This window comes from Homo sapiens, chromosome 19, assembly GCF_000001405.40.
Source record: "Homo sapiens chromosome 19, GRCh38.p14 Primary Assembly".
Classification (NCBI taxonomy): domain Eukaryota; kingdom Metazoa; phylum Chordata; class Mammalia; order Primates; family Hominidae; genus Homo; species Homo sapiens.
This window is the reverse complement of record NC_000019.10, coordinates 56536156-56553467: the sequence shown is the minus strand read 5'-3', so window position 1 is coordinate 56553467 and position 17312 is coordinate 56536156. Positions and strand designations below refer to the sequence as shown.

Genomic DNA, 17312 nt, shown 5'->3' with positions numbered 1-17312 from the left:
CTTGAGGCGGATCACTTGAGGCCAGGACAACATAGCCTGCACAACATAGCAAGACCCTATCTCTAAAAAACTTTTTAAAATTAGCCAGGCATGGTAGTATGTGCCTGTAGTTCCAGCTACTCAGGAGGCAAAGGCAGGGGGATTGCTTGAGCCTAGGAGGTTGATGTGGCAGTAAACTATGATCAAGCCACTGCACTCCAGCCTGGGGAACAGAGCCAGAATCTGACTCAAAAAAAAAAAACAATTATTTTCACATTTTCCTGGTTACTTCCACAAGCCTGAAAACATCCTCAATTCTCTGGCCATTCTATAATGAAGCCTTGCAATTTCTCTCTTTTTGGCAATATTTTTCCAGCTTTATTGAGGCATAGTTGACAAATAAAAATTGTATATATTTAAGGTATAAAATGTTTTGATATGCTTATACATGGTGAAATGTTTGCCACAATCAAGCTAATTACCATATCACCTCACATAATATACTGTCACTGAATTGTACACTTCAAAATGGTTAAATTTTATGTGTACTCTTCTATAATAAAAATATGTAAATAAAACAAACAAAAAACAGGCCACACAGCAAAATACAGAAGAGAAAGGTAAGGAAAGAAGGGAAAAATGAGAAGGAAAGAAAGAAAAGGAAGGAAGGTGATAAAGGAGAGAGAAATAATTAAGTTACAGAAGGTCAAACAAATGTATTATATGATTCAAATGGGACTATACATCTATTCATTTTTTAAGAGATAGGAGTGAAACAAATGAAAAAATCAACAAAGTACGTGCTTCTATAAATGAAGATAATTCCCAAGTTAAGCTACTATATAGTAAGAAATACCATATGCAAACTTCTAGACCACACAAAATTGGGGAAAAATTTTATCAAACTTATTAAAAAATAGCATTCATATCAATGTTGCATAAATACAGGAAAATATACAACCCAATAGAAATGTGACTAATGAGTATAAACACACTATGAATAGAATACAAACTCTAAACAGATTTAAGAGCACATATTCTCAACATCGTAAGTAGTTGGGGAAATGCAAATTAAATAAAACATTTTTCATCTAGCAGCTTGGCAAAATTTTTTTTAAACTACAAAATACCCATATTGGTGATGATGTCTAGAAACAGTATTCTCATATATTCTTTACCAACGGTACAGCAAAATATCCATGACACTTTAAAAATACATATACTTCGACCATGCAAATTCATTTCCAAGCATATATCTTCAAGAAATATTCTGACATGTAAGCAAGAAGATATGTACAAACTGGACCACTGTTGATTATAGGTGAAAACTGGAGAAGACCTCCTAAATGTTTAAATATACTCAACAGTAAATAATTTAAATAAATTATATATATTCATATAATACTAAATAGTCATTAAAAATGAAATAGAACTATATGTGTCAAGTTGTTAGCCACACAAATAGGAGAAATCACATTAGAAATAATATACTGGACTATATAAAAATTGAAAATTTTTACATGTCATAATTTTAAAAGACCTAATTAAAATTAAAACTCTTATTGCCATATGTGAAAATAGTTTGAGACAATATATCACAGAATTAGTATGCTTATATACATAGCAGTCACTGAGACTGTTAAGAAAATATTTAACACACAAGAGAGAACTGGGTACAAATGACAGACATTTTACAAGAAGATAAGAGAAAAACCAAATTTACGAAAAAATGTTCAACTTCTTTCATAAAAAAAGAATAATTTTAGTGTATAATCTTTCAACAAATAATGAGCAAAAGTTTTCATGTAAATAACCAATACTTTCAAGATGCAATTAAACTCATACATCTAATTGTTGCTAGTCACCAAAAACAAAAAAACTTTCAGAGCCTAGCAGGTGCTCATATCCAGGAATACAGCAATCCCCAAAATGTGTAGTTTTCACTTAACTTGAAAAAAATCTATTATAATTGTATCTTTAATACTAAGAAATGTAAAGCAACCTAAGTGAGCAATGGTATATACAACGTGGAATCCACATGAAAAACGTGTATGCGTAACTGAATATACACTGTAATTTCTACTATGTGAAAAAATGTGTGTTTATCCTGACTTAAATGGATCTAAGGTGTATGTTGTGATAACGTCACGGTTTTATATTCTTTTGCCAAACAGTAAACAATTACATTTTCTACAAACCATTATTTTCTATGGAAATTTCCTTTCTTTCCCTTGTGCATCAAGAGGAAAAGATCCTTTACTTCCACCTTCTTGCAATTCAACTTCTACCCACCTGTCCTACTAAAACATAGACACCACTGGGAACAACATCTCCTTTGTCTCTATAATGCCCTATTTGAAATTCTGCAAACTCTACTTCATGCAAGCTATCCATAAACATGTCTTATCCTTTCCATTAGAGTAATTCACTGATGGCTTACATTTATGTGTAATTCTCCCTTTTTCCAATCGCCTGCCAATACTCAGCAGAGTGGCTCAATCCCATAACTTTCAATTTGTGGTTCTCACAGGAATGGATGCATGATGAAAACAATAGGCCATTTAACCACAGAAGAGAAAACCTTTGGAAGTCAGCTCAAAAGTGCATCAGGGTCCAGAAAAGATCATTTAAGGAAGCAAGTGGATGATACACGTCCCAGTGGCCAAGAAAAGAAGGAACTTCAGGGAAATGGCAGTTACTGGAGAGAAGGGGGCAAAGGAGGAGGAAAGAATTATTTGGAACTCCCAGAGTTCAATTTTCTTTCCAGACCCAGAGACCCTGGGTAAAGTTTCCTACTGTATATTAGTGAGGATGCAGCCTTTTTGGTAAAAGCTCCGCTCTCTCTTGCAGTAGATTTTCCACACCAGGCTCTCCTGCACTCACCTGAGAACAGGCTTCCTGTCAGCTCTCGCTTCACCATCCAGGGCTCCTTCTCTTGCTCTAGTAAAGAGACTAAATCTGGCTTAGCCACACAATGTCCTGAAAAAGTGAAAAGAGATGAGGTTTGGCCAATAGTCTTGGCATCCTAAAATTGAGAACCACTTCCTTGTTGATAGAAAAGTGTTACTGCTGAAAGAAACAGAAAAACAGGTGAGTAGGATCTGAAAGACACAAGAAGATAACGCTTCAAGCCTAACAAAGACACCAACTTTCACCTCTACAAATGCCAAATTCTTATCTTAGGAATCCACAAAATTCAGGCCAGCATGTCAGAAGACACCCCCTCCCTCCTCCATAATTCAAAACTGAAGTTTGGAAATGGAGGTACCCGACGATAGATTCAAATATGGGAGAGGGACATCCTTACCTGCTGATCCCAGGTCACTGTTGTTCTCCCATATCCCATTCTTACAGAAATTCTTCTGAGCTGGGTGTAGCTGCTGGCGGAAGTCAACAGCCAGGTTTTTGATAGTCACCAAGCCCTGCAATGGTAAAAGCACGTTTTTTAAATCAAACCATGTTCGTGAACTCACCTGGTCTCAGTGGGATGGACTGTGTCCACACTGCAAAAAAGGCACTCCATACCAAGAACTGCAACTTAAGTTCTGGTACACCAGGTCAAATAATGACAGGGCTTAGTTATAGCATACATGTTTGGGGAAAAACACAGAAAAATAGGAGAAACTTTCTGCTATGGAGAGTTTGTCATACTTACACACAGTATGAACTTACACACAGTATGAACCTTTTAACAGACGGAAGGCTTTCCCATATTCATACAAATTATTCAACAAGTCCACAGAGTTTTTCTCTTGTATGAAATCTTTGATGAAAAGGAGGGGTTGATATTCTGCTCAAAGCTTTTTTTTTTTGAGACGGAGTCTTGCTCTGTCACCCAGGCTGGAGTGCAGTGGCGCGATCTCGGCTCACTGCAAGCTCCGCCTCCCGGGTTCATGCCATTCTCCTGCCTCAGCCTCCTGAGTAGCTGGGACTACAGGCGCCCGCCAGCACGCCCGGCTAATTTTTTGTATTTTTAGTAGAGACAGGGTTTCACAATGTTAGCTAGGATGGTCTCGATCTCCTGACCTTGTGATCCACCCGCCTCGGCCTCCCAAAGTGCTGGGATTACAGGCGTGAGCCACCGCGCCTGGCCTCTGCTCAAAGCTTTCTTACATTCATCACAAGTCAAACATTTCTGACCTTGACAGATTTGTTTGTAATTCATTACAACTCAATTTCCCCCTCCACTGTTCTTATGTGTATGGAGATTAGGCACTCTCTGTTCTGAGGGGATAATCTGTCTATAAGAAGCATTGTATTCAAATGAAAACTTCTCTTATAGTTGTTGTAGTCATGGTCTCTTCCCTCAAGAAGAGTTTCCTCATGAAGGATCCTTCCTCTTGCCTGAAATTTGTCTTGTGACTTACCGGCTGTGTCTCAAACAGAGCATCATAATCCCAGTGTTCCCCTAACAGAGAGTACTCCAGATTATAGCTTGTGAGTCTCTCTGTTATCACTGCCTGGGATAGCTTTCCTTCGCAGAAGTCCTTCTTGAGAGGTAACTCCTTGATCTTCCACACAGCCTTCAAGTCTGAAAGACGTAAAGAAGGTAAATTTATCTTTTATCATGTGTTAGTATGAAGAAAAATTCCAAAATGCAACCGTTAAATTAAAAGCCACAAAAAAGCATATAGTCATTTATTTTTATGGAAGAAAATGAAAAGCATATCATTTTGAAAGCTTTCTTATATTACTAGCAATATTCAACCAACCCTACATTCCTAAATTTGTGTAGCCATAGTCCTAAAGGCCACAATAAGACCTTTCCCACCTAAAAGTTGAATAAGAGTTCACATTATGTTTTTAGCAGAAGACTGGAAAAAGCAATTAAAAATCAAGAGATAAGGGAGCTCACAAAGACTTAAATGTAAAATAAAATGTCTAATATAAAGAGAAAGTGGAGGCTATAGAAGAAAACTGCCATATGATCCTTATTTCAGCTTTAAGTCAACTCTTTTTCACTCCTTGTCCATTTCATCTAGAAAAAATTTCATCTCTATCTCTACATACCTCCTTTTTTTTTATTACGATGCTAACTAATAAAAGTCCAGATCCTGGCCTTAAAAATGTAAGTCTTCACAATTAACTAGTCTCAAGAAGAGATGAATGATCTGCAGGAAGAAAAAACAGTTCTATCTCATTAAACTAGCTCAAAGTATGTGATTTCATATGATGTTAAATTGGAAACTTTCACACATTCTTGTTCTCTTATGCTATATGATGACCCATGTGAGTCACTTTAATTTATAACTGTCAGTAACTTGTCCTGTTGTCAATGCAAGCGTTTCCTTTGAAGTGTGAATTGAACAAAGAAACCTTGTAAGATTCCCAATGCTTTAGAAACTGTAACCATTTCCTGTTAGGATAAAACCTCTGAAAGAAATCTATAATTCTAATTCCTTGTCTTAATAATTTGCTGTTCTGGAAATAATACTGTAGTTGAAATTTCTGTATTCCCAAATAGTAAAAATAACAGATATTCCTAAGCAAGAGGCTTAGGAAGAGTCTGCTGAAGATGTTGCGTGTCTGAGTCAGCTGAACTATGACCAGCAGTGGCCTCACCCTACCTGGTTCTCCCACACTCACCTGGGCACCAGGCTCTTGTCATCTTTCGCTTCACTGTCCAAGGCTCTTTTCCTTGTTCCAACGAGGAGATCACATCGGGCTTAGAAACACAAAGTCCTAGACACATAAAAAACAACCTGGTCATACTGTGTGGCTGTCCAGACTGAGATGCAGTCCCCTTGGCTTGACGCAAGAGGGCAGTGCAGGTCTGGGTGATAAAGGCATGAAAGGCTTCTTAGTCCAGGACGTGGGTAGGGTGAGGGGTGGGAAAAGGGGTGGGAGCCCTTACCCAGCGATGCCAGGTTCCTGTAGTTCTCCAACATCACCTTCCTGTACAAGTTCCTCTGAATGGGGTTCAGCCACTCCCACTCCTCTTGGGAGAAATCTACAGCCACATCCCCAAATGTCACCAAGCCCTGAAATGATATAACCATGTTCTTGCTCAACCAGTGCTCATGCCCCCACATGACTGGGGGTTTGTTATAGAAAGAAATGTGTCCCCTGACAAAACTCCTACATTAAACTCCTAATCCCCAGTACTTTTGAATGTGACTGTATTTAGAGACAGGGCCTACAAAGAGGTAATTAGGGTTAAATGAGGTCATATGGGTGGGGCCCTAACCCAATCTGTCTGGTGTCCTTATTAAAACAGGAAGAGATACCACGGTGTGCAGGCACAGGGAAAAGACCACGTGAGGACACAGAGAGAAGACGGCCGTCTGCAAGCCAAGGAGAGAGGCCTCAGGTGAAACCAAACCTGCAGGCACCTTGATCTTGGACTTCCAGCCTCCAGAAGCTTGAGAAAAGAAATTTCTGTTGTTTAAGACACCCATTCTGTGGTATTTGTTCTGGCAGCCCTAACAAACTAATATAGGGATCTAAAGATTCCTTGTCTTCATTTTGAGTAAGAGACTATAAACTCAGAACTGTGGAGATCTAGTTAGGTATTGTACAGCTAGCCTCATTCTGTCTTAAACTCCAGGTAAAAGAGAAAAATATGGAGACAGCCCCTGACTTTGGAGAACTTGCAGTTTTGTGGAGGTGAAAGGAGGCAGCCACAAGAAAAACCCCTGACATCAATTCAAAACTATAAATAACAAAGACTAACTTGTTCTATGCACAACAGGTACTACAGCACTGTCCAACATGGGGACATGTGAGTGGCCTGAAGCAGCACAAGAACTGGGCAATAAACTTGAGATGAACCTCAAAGCATCAATATTATTCATGACTAAACTGGGTTCTAAGAATTTCTATTTTTACTCTCAGTGTTCAGTAGAGGTCATTAAAAAAAAATCTAGCAATTTTTTTTTCTAAAATGAATATGTAATAAGAATGAAAAACAAAAAGCACTATAATGTTTTTAATTAATGAAATGCCTTTACGAACCAAGGTGCCATCTTGGAGAAGCTAGGCATTATGAGGAGCTATCAGGAGCACATTTGCTAACAGCTTGGCATGAGCAGGATTTTCTTGACCAACTGGCAAGATGGGGCTGCTCAGCTCCTGCTGGCAGATTTTTATGGAGCATAGTTTTACAAATTCAGCCTACAACTCTGATACGTTCCAATGTATTTTAAACATCTATTCAGTTGCAACTCTAATCCCAGGAACCTGTGGCTAACAGAAGGCAGATTTAACTGACTAGCAGCTGTGGGATTTTCAAAGTCTAAACTGAAATGAACATGCGAAACAGTTGGACTACCCCAAAAGCTGAATTACAATTCCAGCACTCACCAGCTCTGAAACCTCACTTGGTTACCTAACGCCTCTGTGCCTCAGTTCCCCAGCTATAAAATGGAAAAGGCAACAATACCAACCTTGTAGATTATGTTTTGGATTAAATGAGGCAACACATACACAGCACTTAGAACGTGCAAGGCACAATGGAAGCATGCAGTGAACATGACTTGTAATGATGCTGACTGTCATAACTCTCATCCATAGGGATGCTGCCTCTGCTTGTCACCCTTGACCTATATATTTTCAGGCAGTCCTCACCCAGTCCCCATTTGTGTGTTCTAGATAGAAAAGGCCCCATACTATGAAATGACTACTGTCCTTCTGCATGAAGCCTGGTGAACCTGATAATGTAGCCTTCAAGTTCCCTTACTGAGCCTTGAGCTCCCTTCAAAGTATCCAAGCCAACCCTGTCTTGGGAAACTCACCTAGATAATGCCCTGAACCCCAATAAAGGCTCCAGCCCACAGGTCCCTCCCTCTCTCTTGGTCCCCACCCTTTGGCTGGGCATGTGTGTCCTCAATGTCTCCAAGCCCTTCCAGTAAGCCCTGCAAGGTGTGCTGGCCACTGTTCTCTGGAATCTGTGAGTAATAAACAATCTTTTTGCCATTCTGCTCTAAGTGTCCCTCACCATGCTGCATCTGACTACACAAAACCTAATTTAAATACCTCACTTAACAAACCACAACACCAACCAAGAGCTGAACCTTTTAAAGATTCACATTATTCTACTAGAAACAAAAGTCCCTTTGAGGTTTGATATCTGCTGAATAATATACAATCACTTGTTCTTTAACCTGCTACCAAACTTTAAGGACATTTGTAACTGAATTGTGTAAAAATAGGTCAAAAGGGTTTTGTAAGTGATATCCCAATTTGAGTGAATATCAACTGCAGAGGGAGTTGAATCAGTCAACTGCAGAGCTACACTCTTGATGGTAAACTCATCATGGAGAAGTCTCCTAAGCTGGGGACTGAAAGGCCCCCTGCAGTGTAAACCATGAGGTAATACTTGCAGGAAACAGCCAAGAACTGCTTAATGTCCTTGAGCAAAAGACACACTAATATGGCTACCTGAGGAAGCTAGTCTAAAACAAATGCTGGTCAGCTCTCAGCAATAATTTTGCAAGTTGAAGCATCTTGGCATAAAAGAAGAGGAACTTATTTGCTTGCCAAGAAGAATCAACCCTAGTTTCCCAGGTTGATCATGCTATGCATTAGTGATCTGCTTTTGTACCAGTGGTTTGTTAAATGCCTTCAATGTAATCACGTAGAGGGACCCAACGTTAGCAATATACATATATCCTCCTAAGACATTTTCTGTTTATTCGGACAGCTCTTTATGTATAGAATCAATGACTTTTGTTTTAAAAATGTCTTTTACTGTAAATAACAGCAATAACAATAGCTGAAAGCACTTACAACACTTCAGACGCAATTCTATATACTTATATATTAGCTTATTTAATCCTCACAACGATCCTAATAGTCAGTACTATTACTATTCCCATTTTACAGATGAGAAAATATTGAGCTGTAATGTGCCCAGGATCACAGACAGTCAGCTGTAGAGCTGGGTTTTGAACCCAGGAGTCTGACTCCACAGTCCATGCTCTTAACCTCCACTTCAGGTGTCAGCAAAGTTTTTCTGTAAAGAGCCAGAAAGTAAATATTTTAGGCTTTGTGGGCCAAATAGCCTTGGCCGCAACTCTTCAATTTTGCCACTGTAGCACAAAAGCAGTCATAGATAATACATAAACAAACAAGTATGTTGTGCTACAATGAAATTTTTTTTATGGACACCAAAATGTGACTTTCATTTAATTTTCATGTATTCTTCTTCTTTTGATTTTTTTCAACCACTGAAAAATGTAGAACTCATTTGTAGCTGGTGGGCCACACAAAAGGAGGTGGTGGTGGGCTGGATTTGGCCTATAGGCCATAATTTGCCCAGTTCGGTCCTATATTAAACACTTTTTTTGAAGTACGCCATCTAAGTGTCTTGCCTGTAAATTTCTAAAACCGTCATGATGACATGAGGATGCTGCCAGCTAACACTAGTAAGTCCTTACTATGTGCCAGGTACCTCAATCCAGGCACTATACACATCTTAACTTAATCCTTACAAGAACTGCTTGAGGCAGGTCCAATTATTTTCCTCATTTTACAGATGAAGAAAATGTGGTCACTTGAGTTGCCTGAAGGTTACGCAATGATTAGATGCTAGGGCTAGCATGTGAACCTAGTCCATGACCTTTGACCACTTTGCCATTCTACTTCTATTAAAAGGTTCCACTTTGATAATAGCAGTAATACTTAGTATCCATTCACCCTGACAGTGAAACAAGTTCCAGTAGAAAACATGTTTTCAGATAAAAATAAAATGAACTTTCCCTAACTGATGTCTGGATCAACCTACTTAATTTAGGTGGAGACAAAACATTGTCAAATGTGCAGGTCCTGTTCTTATTCCTGTTGCTGCAACATAAATATGCAGACTTCAAAATGGGTTTCACATTTTTACACTATACCACAGAGAAAACATTATACAGGCACAGAATCTACTCCTGATATAGGCATCTGATGTAAGTTAACTCATCTTAATATACATATGAACTGGGTATGGTGGCACACGCCTATAGGCCCAGCCACTCAGAAGGCTGAGGCAGGAGAATTCCTTGAGCCCAGGAGTTTGAGGCTGTAGTACACCATAACTGTGCCTGAAAATAGCCAATATACTCCAGTCTGGGCAAAACAGTGAGACTCCCATCTCTTAAAAAAATTATATATACATATATATATAATATACATATATTAATATATATATAAAATATACATATATAATATATTCTATATAATATATAAACACACGCACACACACAAAGATAGAGACATTAAAAGAATACCAACAAAAAATAAAAGCAACTTTATACTTACAGAAAAATCTTTCTGTTGAAATTTCATAGAAAAGAATGAATATGAAGTACTTTATAGAAAAAATACACTAAAAAGATTTGTTTAAATTCAATTCAGTTAATTTTTAAAACATACAAATAAACATTTATTTGGTAATAACTATTATTCCTGATGAAGTGTACATTTTTTTCAAAACATGAATTCTAGCTTTTGAGGCACCACTGCTGTTCTATCCAAAAATAATTTTAGAAGTATTCCGATTTCACATAAGCTTAGGAAACCTTAATCCATGAGGCAAGAAAAACTTCTAGGAATGTATTCATACAAAATAATCAGGGGCTGGGCATGGTGGCTCACACCTACAATTCCAGCTCCTTTGGAAGCCAAGGTGGGAGGATTGCTTGAGGCCCGGAGTTTGAGGCTGCAATTATCTATGACTGTGCCACTGTACTCCAGCCTAGGTGACAGAGTGAGACCCTGTCTCTAAAAGCAAAAAAACAAAATAAAAAAATCAGGGACGAAGCACATTTTCAGGTATAAAAATGACTATTCTAACACTATACTAAATATCAAAACACTGGCCACAAGAGAACTTTAAGACTATATTCAAACATTCATCCACCAAATATTTTCTGTATCAGACATTAGGCAAAACTGCCCCAAATCCTTGCCTATGAAGTAAGGAAATGAGACAAGAGAAACTGAGATAAATTAAGTAAAATACATTTGACCTTCGAACAACATGGATCTGGGCTGCAAGGGTCCACCTATATGCAAATTTTTTCAACCAAATGCAGACTGAAAATACAATTATTGTCTGGGCGCGGGGAATCACACCTCTAATCGCAGCAATTTGGTAGCCCAAGGCGGGCGGTTGCCTGAGGCCAGGAGTTCGAGACCAGCCTGGGAAACATGGCAAAACCCCATCTCTACAAAAAATACAAAAATTAGCTGGGCATGGTGGCACATGCCTGTAATTCCAGCTACTTCGGAGGCTGAGATGGGAGCACTGCTTGAGCCTGGGGAGGTCAAGGCTGCAGTGAGCCGTGATGGCACCACTGCACTCCAGCCTGGGTGACAGAGTGAGACCTTGTCTCAAAAAAGATTATTTGTGGTATGGAAAACCTGTGTCCACTGAGGGCTGACTTCTCATATCTGCAGGCTCCACATGGCTGATGAATAAGTGCAAATTTTGGTATACGTGGGATTTCTGTATATAGTATGTTGAAAAGTACTACGAGGGCCAGGCACAGTGGCTCATGGCTGTAATCCCAGCACTTTGGGAGGCTGAGGTGGGCGGATCACTTGAGGTCAGGAAATCGAGACCAGCCTGGCCAACATGGTGAAACCCTGTCTCTAAAAAAAAAAAAAAAAAAAAAAAAAAAAAAAATTAGCCAGGTGTGGTGGCTACTCGGGAGGCTGAGGAAGGAGAATCATTTCAACTCAGGAGGCGGAGGTTGCAGTGAGCCGAGATCACGCCACTGTACTCCAGCCTGAGTGACAGAGCAAAACTCTGTCTCAAAAGAAAAGTACTAAAAGAAAAAAGCAAAGCAGGGAAGAGGGATGTGAAGAACAGGTAGGAGGCTCTGAAATTCTAGACAGGGTGAGCAGGAAAATGAGAAGGCGATTTTTCAGAAAGAAGAGAGTGATGTAGATGTCAGGGGTAACAAGGAGCCAGGTCATGTAGGGCCTGGTCAGTAACAGGAAGAGTTTTGGCTTTTATTCAGAGAAACCACTGGAGGGTCCTGAGCACAGCGTGACACAAGGTGACATGTTTGAATAGACCCCTCTGGCTGCTCATCGGGAAGGGGCTGTGGGGAGCGTGAGCAGAAGCAGGAGGTCACAGAAGCACAGTCAAGAAGCCCACAGTAAAAGGAGGACTTGGACCTGCTGCTGGTGATAGATGTGATGAAAACTGCCAGATTCTGCACATAATTTGCAAATAGAACTGACAGGATTTGCATCAGGACCAAATATGGAAGGAAAAGGCAAGAAATGAGCCAATCATGACAAGGCTTCCGGACTGAGTAACTGAGAGGATGAAACGGCCACTGACTAAGACTCAAACTGTGGGAGGAGCTGGTTTATGGGAGACTCTCAGGACTTCGGGTCTGGACAGGCTGTCTTGAGTTACCCATCAGACACTCAGGCAGAGGAGTGGAGCAGGATACACAGGCCGGCGGCTCAGAGGAGAGGTTTGGGCTCACAATGTGAATCTGGGAGGAGCCACCATGTGGGTAGGTTGTACAGACAAGGAACAGGCTACTATCCCCAGGAGACAGCATGCAGACAAAAAAAGAAAGGGCCATGAGCAGAGTGCTGAGGCACACTCTGTTCAAGTCACGGAGGTAAGAACTGTGGCAAAAACTGAGCAGTCAGGAAGATGAAAGTCAGATGAGTGTGAGATCCCAGTAGCCAAGGGAAAAAAGGGGGCCTATTGAAGGACAGGGATGAGCTATTTGAGGGATAGGTAGCCACCTGTTTTGTAACTGAAGTTTTACTGGAACACAGCCCATCCATTCATTTACATATTGTCTTTGGCTACTTTAGCTCTATAAGAGCAGAAAGGAGTAGATGCAGCAGGACTTTCAAAGCCTAACATATTTTCTGCTGTGGCCTCATCCAGCACAAGTTTGCCAGCCTCTGAGCTATTTCAAATACCAATGATAGTCAAAAAAGACTAAGAATTGAGCACTGCATCTGGTAATGTGAAGATCACAGTAACCCACTCAAGAGCAGTTTGGGTAGGACAACTGGAAGCTGGTTCATCTGTACATATATTTTTTGAGGCCTCAGTGGAAGTGAAATGGTTCATCTATTAATGAGCTAGCTATGATATTTATAGGAGAAGCCAACCGAAACAAACACAACTATTTACTGGCATGTTTTAAAGCCACAAAATCAAGTGGAAAAGCCTTTCATATTGCGCCTCCTCTCCCTAAAATGTTGTCTTTCTTTACTGTGCCTCCCAAACATCTTCTCTCCCTTCAAGGCAAGGCTCAAAAATCACCTCCTTGGTAAATAGGCCTACCCTTCCGCTACAGGAGGCTGGAAGCCAGGAGCGCCTTGTAGTCCTCGCTCATAATACTTGGCCCAAGGATGATCACATTCTAGAATCTTGCTTGTTTCCTTGACATTGGGTCAACAGGCTGTGAGCTCCAGAGCAGGGACTAGGGCTTAGCTATTGGTTTGCTCAGTGGCTGGCACAAAGTGGTCACCAAACAAACCATGTATAGCAGAAGAGTCTGCCGTGTTCCTCAAGGGGCACAATTCCTCCATCAGAGTCCCTCTGAGAAAAGCGGTACAAGGGAGAGGCTGAATCATTTCATCAATCAAGAATGAAGGCTGATTGGGATGAAGAAGAAGCAGGCATCGAGGCCCCGGGCAGTTTAAACTTTTCCCCGTAGCCCATCACTTCACTAGAACGTGAAGAAATAGAAACCCGCGCCCAAACAGGTCTCTTAAACTGAAAACTTTCAAGAAAATAAGCAACATTAAGTCCCGAAAAGCAAGACTGCATTTCAGAGACAAGAGATGAAATGCCAACTCACCTGGGACATGGCTTTAGGTTCAATTCCTGTCCCCACAGCCTCCAGCTTCTTGTTTCTCTCCTGGGGAAGAGCAGTGTCCCTGGAAGGCAGAGCTGAAAGAGAAAGGAGTAGCTAGAGACCAGGTCTACACCACAGTCCCAAATCACCAGCCTAGAAACGTCCCTTCCTGCATGAAAAGGTGGGATCAGATCATTACCCTGCCTAGGGACTGCCACAACGTGGAGATAGGTTTTTTTCCTCCCTGGGAGCACGAAAACAGGAAAAGCGTCTAGTTAGAGTCACCCTGGGAAAGTCAACACCCTTTTACCGCGGCTTGCTGCTCTGAATCAGTTGAGCTTCCAAATCTTCAGATTCTCCCACTCCACCAGCTTCAAAGACCAGGGGCACAGTTCTCCAGCAACTGGTCCCCGAGAGCCCAACCCCCTCCCAGATCTCATCCCGAGATGAATTCGTCCCTGTCCGCTCGGCCCCAAACACCTGTCACTCTCACCTCTGTGCCCAGGCCCCGTAGGGGCCGCTCCTCGCTGGCCTTTGGATGCGAGGCCATTCCTTGAGCGCGGCCTTCCCCGGGCAGGGAGGGCCAAGGTGGCTGGAGTCCCTACAGTCGGGCCTCGGCCCGCCCGGGGCTTTGTGCGGGGGGCGCCTCTACCCGGGAGCGGCGTCGGCTCGCGGACACTCGCGCTCGCCGCCCCCCGCATGTCACCCGAGGCCGCGCGACGCCCTTCCGACCGGTCCCTCACAGACCCACACCCCTGGCCACACCCGCCCGCCACGCCCAGCGAACAGCCCCGCGCGCGCTCCCCCATGGCCCGGCATCCACTGGGCCGCGCCGCGGAGCCGCCCCGCCCCCGGCCGCGCCCCGCCCCTCCCCACCCCTCCCCGCTGCCCCGCCCCGCCCCGCCCCGCCCCGCCCCGCCCCGCCCCGCCCCGCCCCGCCCCGCCCCGCCCCTCAGCCTAGAGAAGCCCGGCGCTTCCCACTTCCAGTGCGCAGGCAGCGCCGCCGGAACCGGGCGTGGCCTCGGCGCAATGCCCGCTGGGAAGCGTAGTCCCAAGCAGGGACGGATGCGGCGGCCCTCGGAGCTCAGGTTGCAAGATACGGTTTGGCCCCGGGCCTATGCAACGCCCGTCCGTCCTGCCCTCTGCGGGTCGCTCTCACTTGTCCCTGGACCGCAGCCGCCGCATAAGTGGTGGCCAACGCTGGGCCTGGGTGTGGCCGGAAGCAGAGGCCGCTCTGACTACACACCCACCCCCCAAAGGCTTCTGGGAGTCGCGCAGGCGCAGCGGCAGACCGGGTGAGGCGGGGCTTGCGGCGAGGGGTGGGACCGCAGGGCCGGAGTAAAAGGGTGCTTGGCTGTGACAGGTGCTAAGGGCCTGGGCGTCAGCTCCTTGCGGGAGCGTCACTGCCGACCGGGAAGGGAAAGGCAATCTTGGGGGCCTCCGGAGTCCGGAGGATCACTCTGATGGGTGATGTGTGTGGGCTAGGAAGGGGGATGTAGAGAGCTTGTGGGATTGTTTTGGGTGCCCCCTCACCTTCTCCCATTATCTCTGGCTACACGGGCCTCCCATCCTCCAAAATACCATTTTCCATTTTGTAACCTATGTATTTGCACGTCCTGGGTCGAAATAGTCTAACCCCAAATTTTCGTCTGGGCTGGCTCCTTTATGCCATTCACTTGTCATCGCCTCAGAGAGGGCTGCCTAACGTCTCAAAAATACCAGCCCTGGCGACCTCTTAAAGTTCCCTTCCTGTGTGAATCACGGTCTGAAGTTAGCTGATGGATTTATTCTTGAACATGTTTAGGACCGGTCTCTCCCCCAGGGGCCTTATCAGAACTGGAGAGCTTCATCCTGGGAGCCAAGGGCCTTGCTGGCTCACAGGCAGTGATGCTGTTACACCAGTCATCACAGATGCACTGACCTCTGCACGCCCAGTCACACTGCACGCCTGGTCTCCTTACTCTTGAATTGATTTCTTTCAGGTCTCCTGGCCTCAGTGATGGAATTAAGATGACTTCTATCTCTGAATCCAAGGGTGACTGAAAGCCGCAAGCTGCAGAAAGGACAAGGTCAGCATTTCTCTCAAAGCACTTCAGTCTCATAGAAAAGGCTTAGTTTCAGTCAGGTGGACCTAGCCATGTAATAGCTGTGGCAGACACTGCTAATGGTCTCTCTGGTGTCTATTTTGCACTCCTTCCACAGCAGAACATTGATGCTCTTCAAGTGGCCATCTGCCCAGCTTATAATACTCACCTCCCCAGTCTCCTTGTAAGGAGTAGTGGCTCTGTAACCAATGAATTTTAAGTACACATTTGCTGGGGGTTTGGTGGATGTGTGGAAAGAGACACAGCTGGCATGTAACTCTGGCCTTTTGTCATCTCACACAACCTTCTTCCTGCTTGGGTATGACACAGGATGTCAACAGGTAGAACAGCTGTAGAGAGCTGGCAAAGGGATCGTGGCCAACTCAACATTCCACTGGAGGCTATATGATCAAACAGCAAACTGTTTATCATGAATGCAGAATGTGGGCAAAGTCGCTTCTGCTCCAGCCACCAGAAGGTTTGCTGAAGGCAATCACTCCCTGGTGTCATGCTCCTTGAGGTTATCTAATGGGACATCTAGAGCCTATTGGTTGACGAATGCAGTCTTGCAAGCCTGCTGTAAATCAAGCTACTGACCGACAACCACCCCCCTTCTCCCTATTCACTCTAATAAATACGAAGGGCTGTAAAGGCTCAGGGCCTGTGTTCACTGGAAGCAAGGAGCCCCCAGACCTCTTCTTCCAAATATACTCTTTTGTCTTTGTCTTTATTCCCATGTTTGTCATCCTTTGTTCAGTCCAACAAGGATAGGGTCCGCTGCAAACAGCCACCTTGGCATCATGAGGATGAAAGTTATGCTAAAGATGGCTTAGCAGAAAAAAAGAGAAATAAACAATCAAAGAAATGGTATTAGAAATGAAAAAGTGGACATAATCACAGAAATTTTTAGAATTTTGCAAATACTGTGATCACCTTATCTCAATATATTTAAAACATATGCAGGGGCTTACCATAGAGAAAATTATAAGTACCAAAACTGACTCAAGAAGAAATGGAAAATCATTAAATAAGTTCTCAGGCTTTTCCATGAATACCAAAGCAATAAATAATCCTTATCCTATAAAACTATACTGGAGAATTTAAAACTAGACACCCTTGATACCAAAACTGGACAAGGACAGTAGGGAAAGAATTTAAGTAGGGAAAGAATTCCAATCTTCAGGGACAACATACACATTAAAATCCTACCTAAAGTGACAATAAACAAAGTCCAGCAATACATAGAAAAATATGTCATGTCCAAGGAAGATATGTCAGAATACTTTCATGTTCTGGAATGTAGAGGCATCACCTATGTGGATAAAGACAGCATCCTGAGTTGATGGAGAAATGGCATAGAAGGAACCAGGTCCTTTGATGACATCATGGAGCAAAGCTGTCTTCTTGCCTTGACCTGCTACCTACCTACATGGGAAGCTGTTACTTGAGAAGGCAATAAAATCTATCTTCTTTATTGACA

The 17312-nt window shown here is 42.9% G+C and overlaps 2 protein-coding genes and 1 long non-coding RNA gene across 7 annotated transcripts in view, besides 1 other annotated feature; 2 read left to right on the top strand and 1 right to left on the bottom strand.

Annotated features, from left to right (window-relative positions):
- Positions 1 to 7893, top strand: part of ZNF470-DT (ZNF470 divergent transcript) — a 22447-nt gene extending 14554 nt beyond the window's left edge. Inside the window, exon 2 of the mRNA XM_047439806.1 lies at positions 6197 to 7893. The gene's annotated coding sequence lies outside the window, so the exon portion shown is untranslated. The remainder of the gene's footprint in view (positions 1 to 6196) is intronic.
- The window catches only part of ZFP28 (ZFP28 zinc finger protein), a 19862-nt gene extending 3341 nt beyond the window's left edge, over positions 1 to 16521 (bottom strand). Inside the window, exons 1-7 of one of the 4 annotated variants that reach the window (XM_011526463.4) lie at positions 15670 to 16521; positions 13752 to 13843; positions 5834 to 5960; positions 5566 to 5661; positions 4347 to 4510; positions 3287 to 3401; positions 2863 to 2958 (exon numbers count right to left, since the gene is read on the bottom strand). In XM_011526463.4, coding sequence (XP_011524765.2) covers positions 2863 to 2958; positions 3287 to 3401; positions 4347 to 4510; positions 5566 to 5661; positions 5834 to 5960; positions 13752 to 13843; positions 15670 to 15850 — 871 coding nt within the window. In that variant the 5' untranslated portion in view covers positions 15851 to 16521. The other 3 variants (NM_020828.2, XM_011526462.4, NM_001308440.2) reach the window with 3 other exon arrangements.
- Positions 4985 to 6184: an enhancer, noted in NCBI's record as "BRD4-independent group 4 enhancer chr19:57058653-57059852 (GRCh37/hg19 assembly coordinates)". NCBI's record gives its function as "activates an origin of replication core promoter dependent on BRD2, P300/CBP, MED14 and CDK7 cofactors, and independent of BRD4, by STARR-seq in HCT116 cells {active_cell/tissue: HCT116}" and the evidence as "EXISTENCE:reporter gene assay evidence [ECO:0000049][PMID:35650434]".
- Positions 14734 to 17312, top strand: ZFP28-DT (ZFP28 divergent transcript). Of its 2 annotated transcripts, none has more exons than NR_183967.1 (3): positions 14734 to 15043; positions 15731 to 15817; positions 17136 to 17312. It is a non-coding gene; the product is annotated as a ZFP28 divergent transcript (long non-coding RNA). The 2 variants fall into 2 exon arrangements; NR_183966.1 differs by having other exon boundaries at positions 14734 to 15215.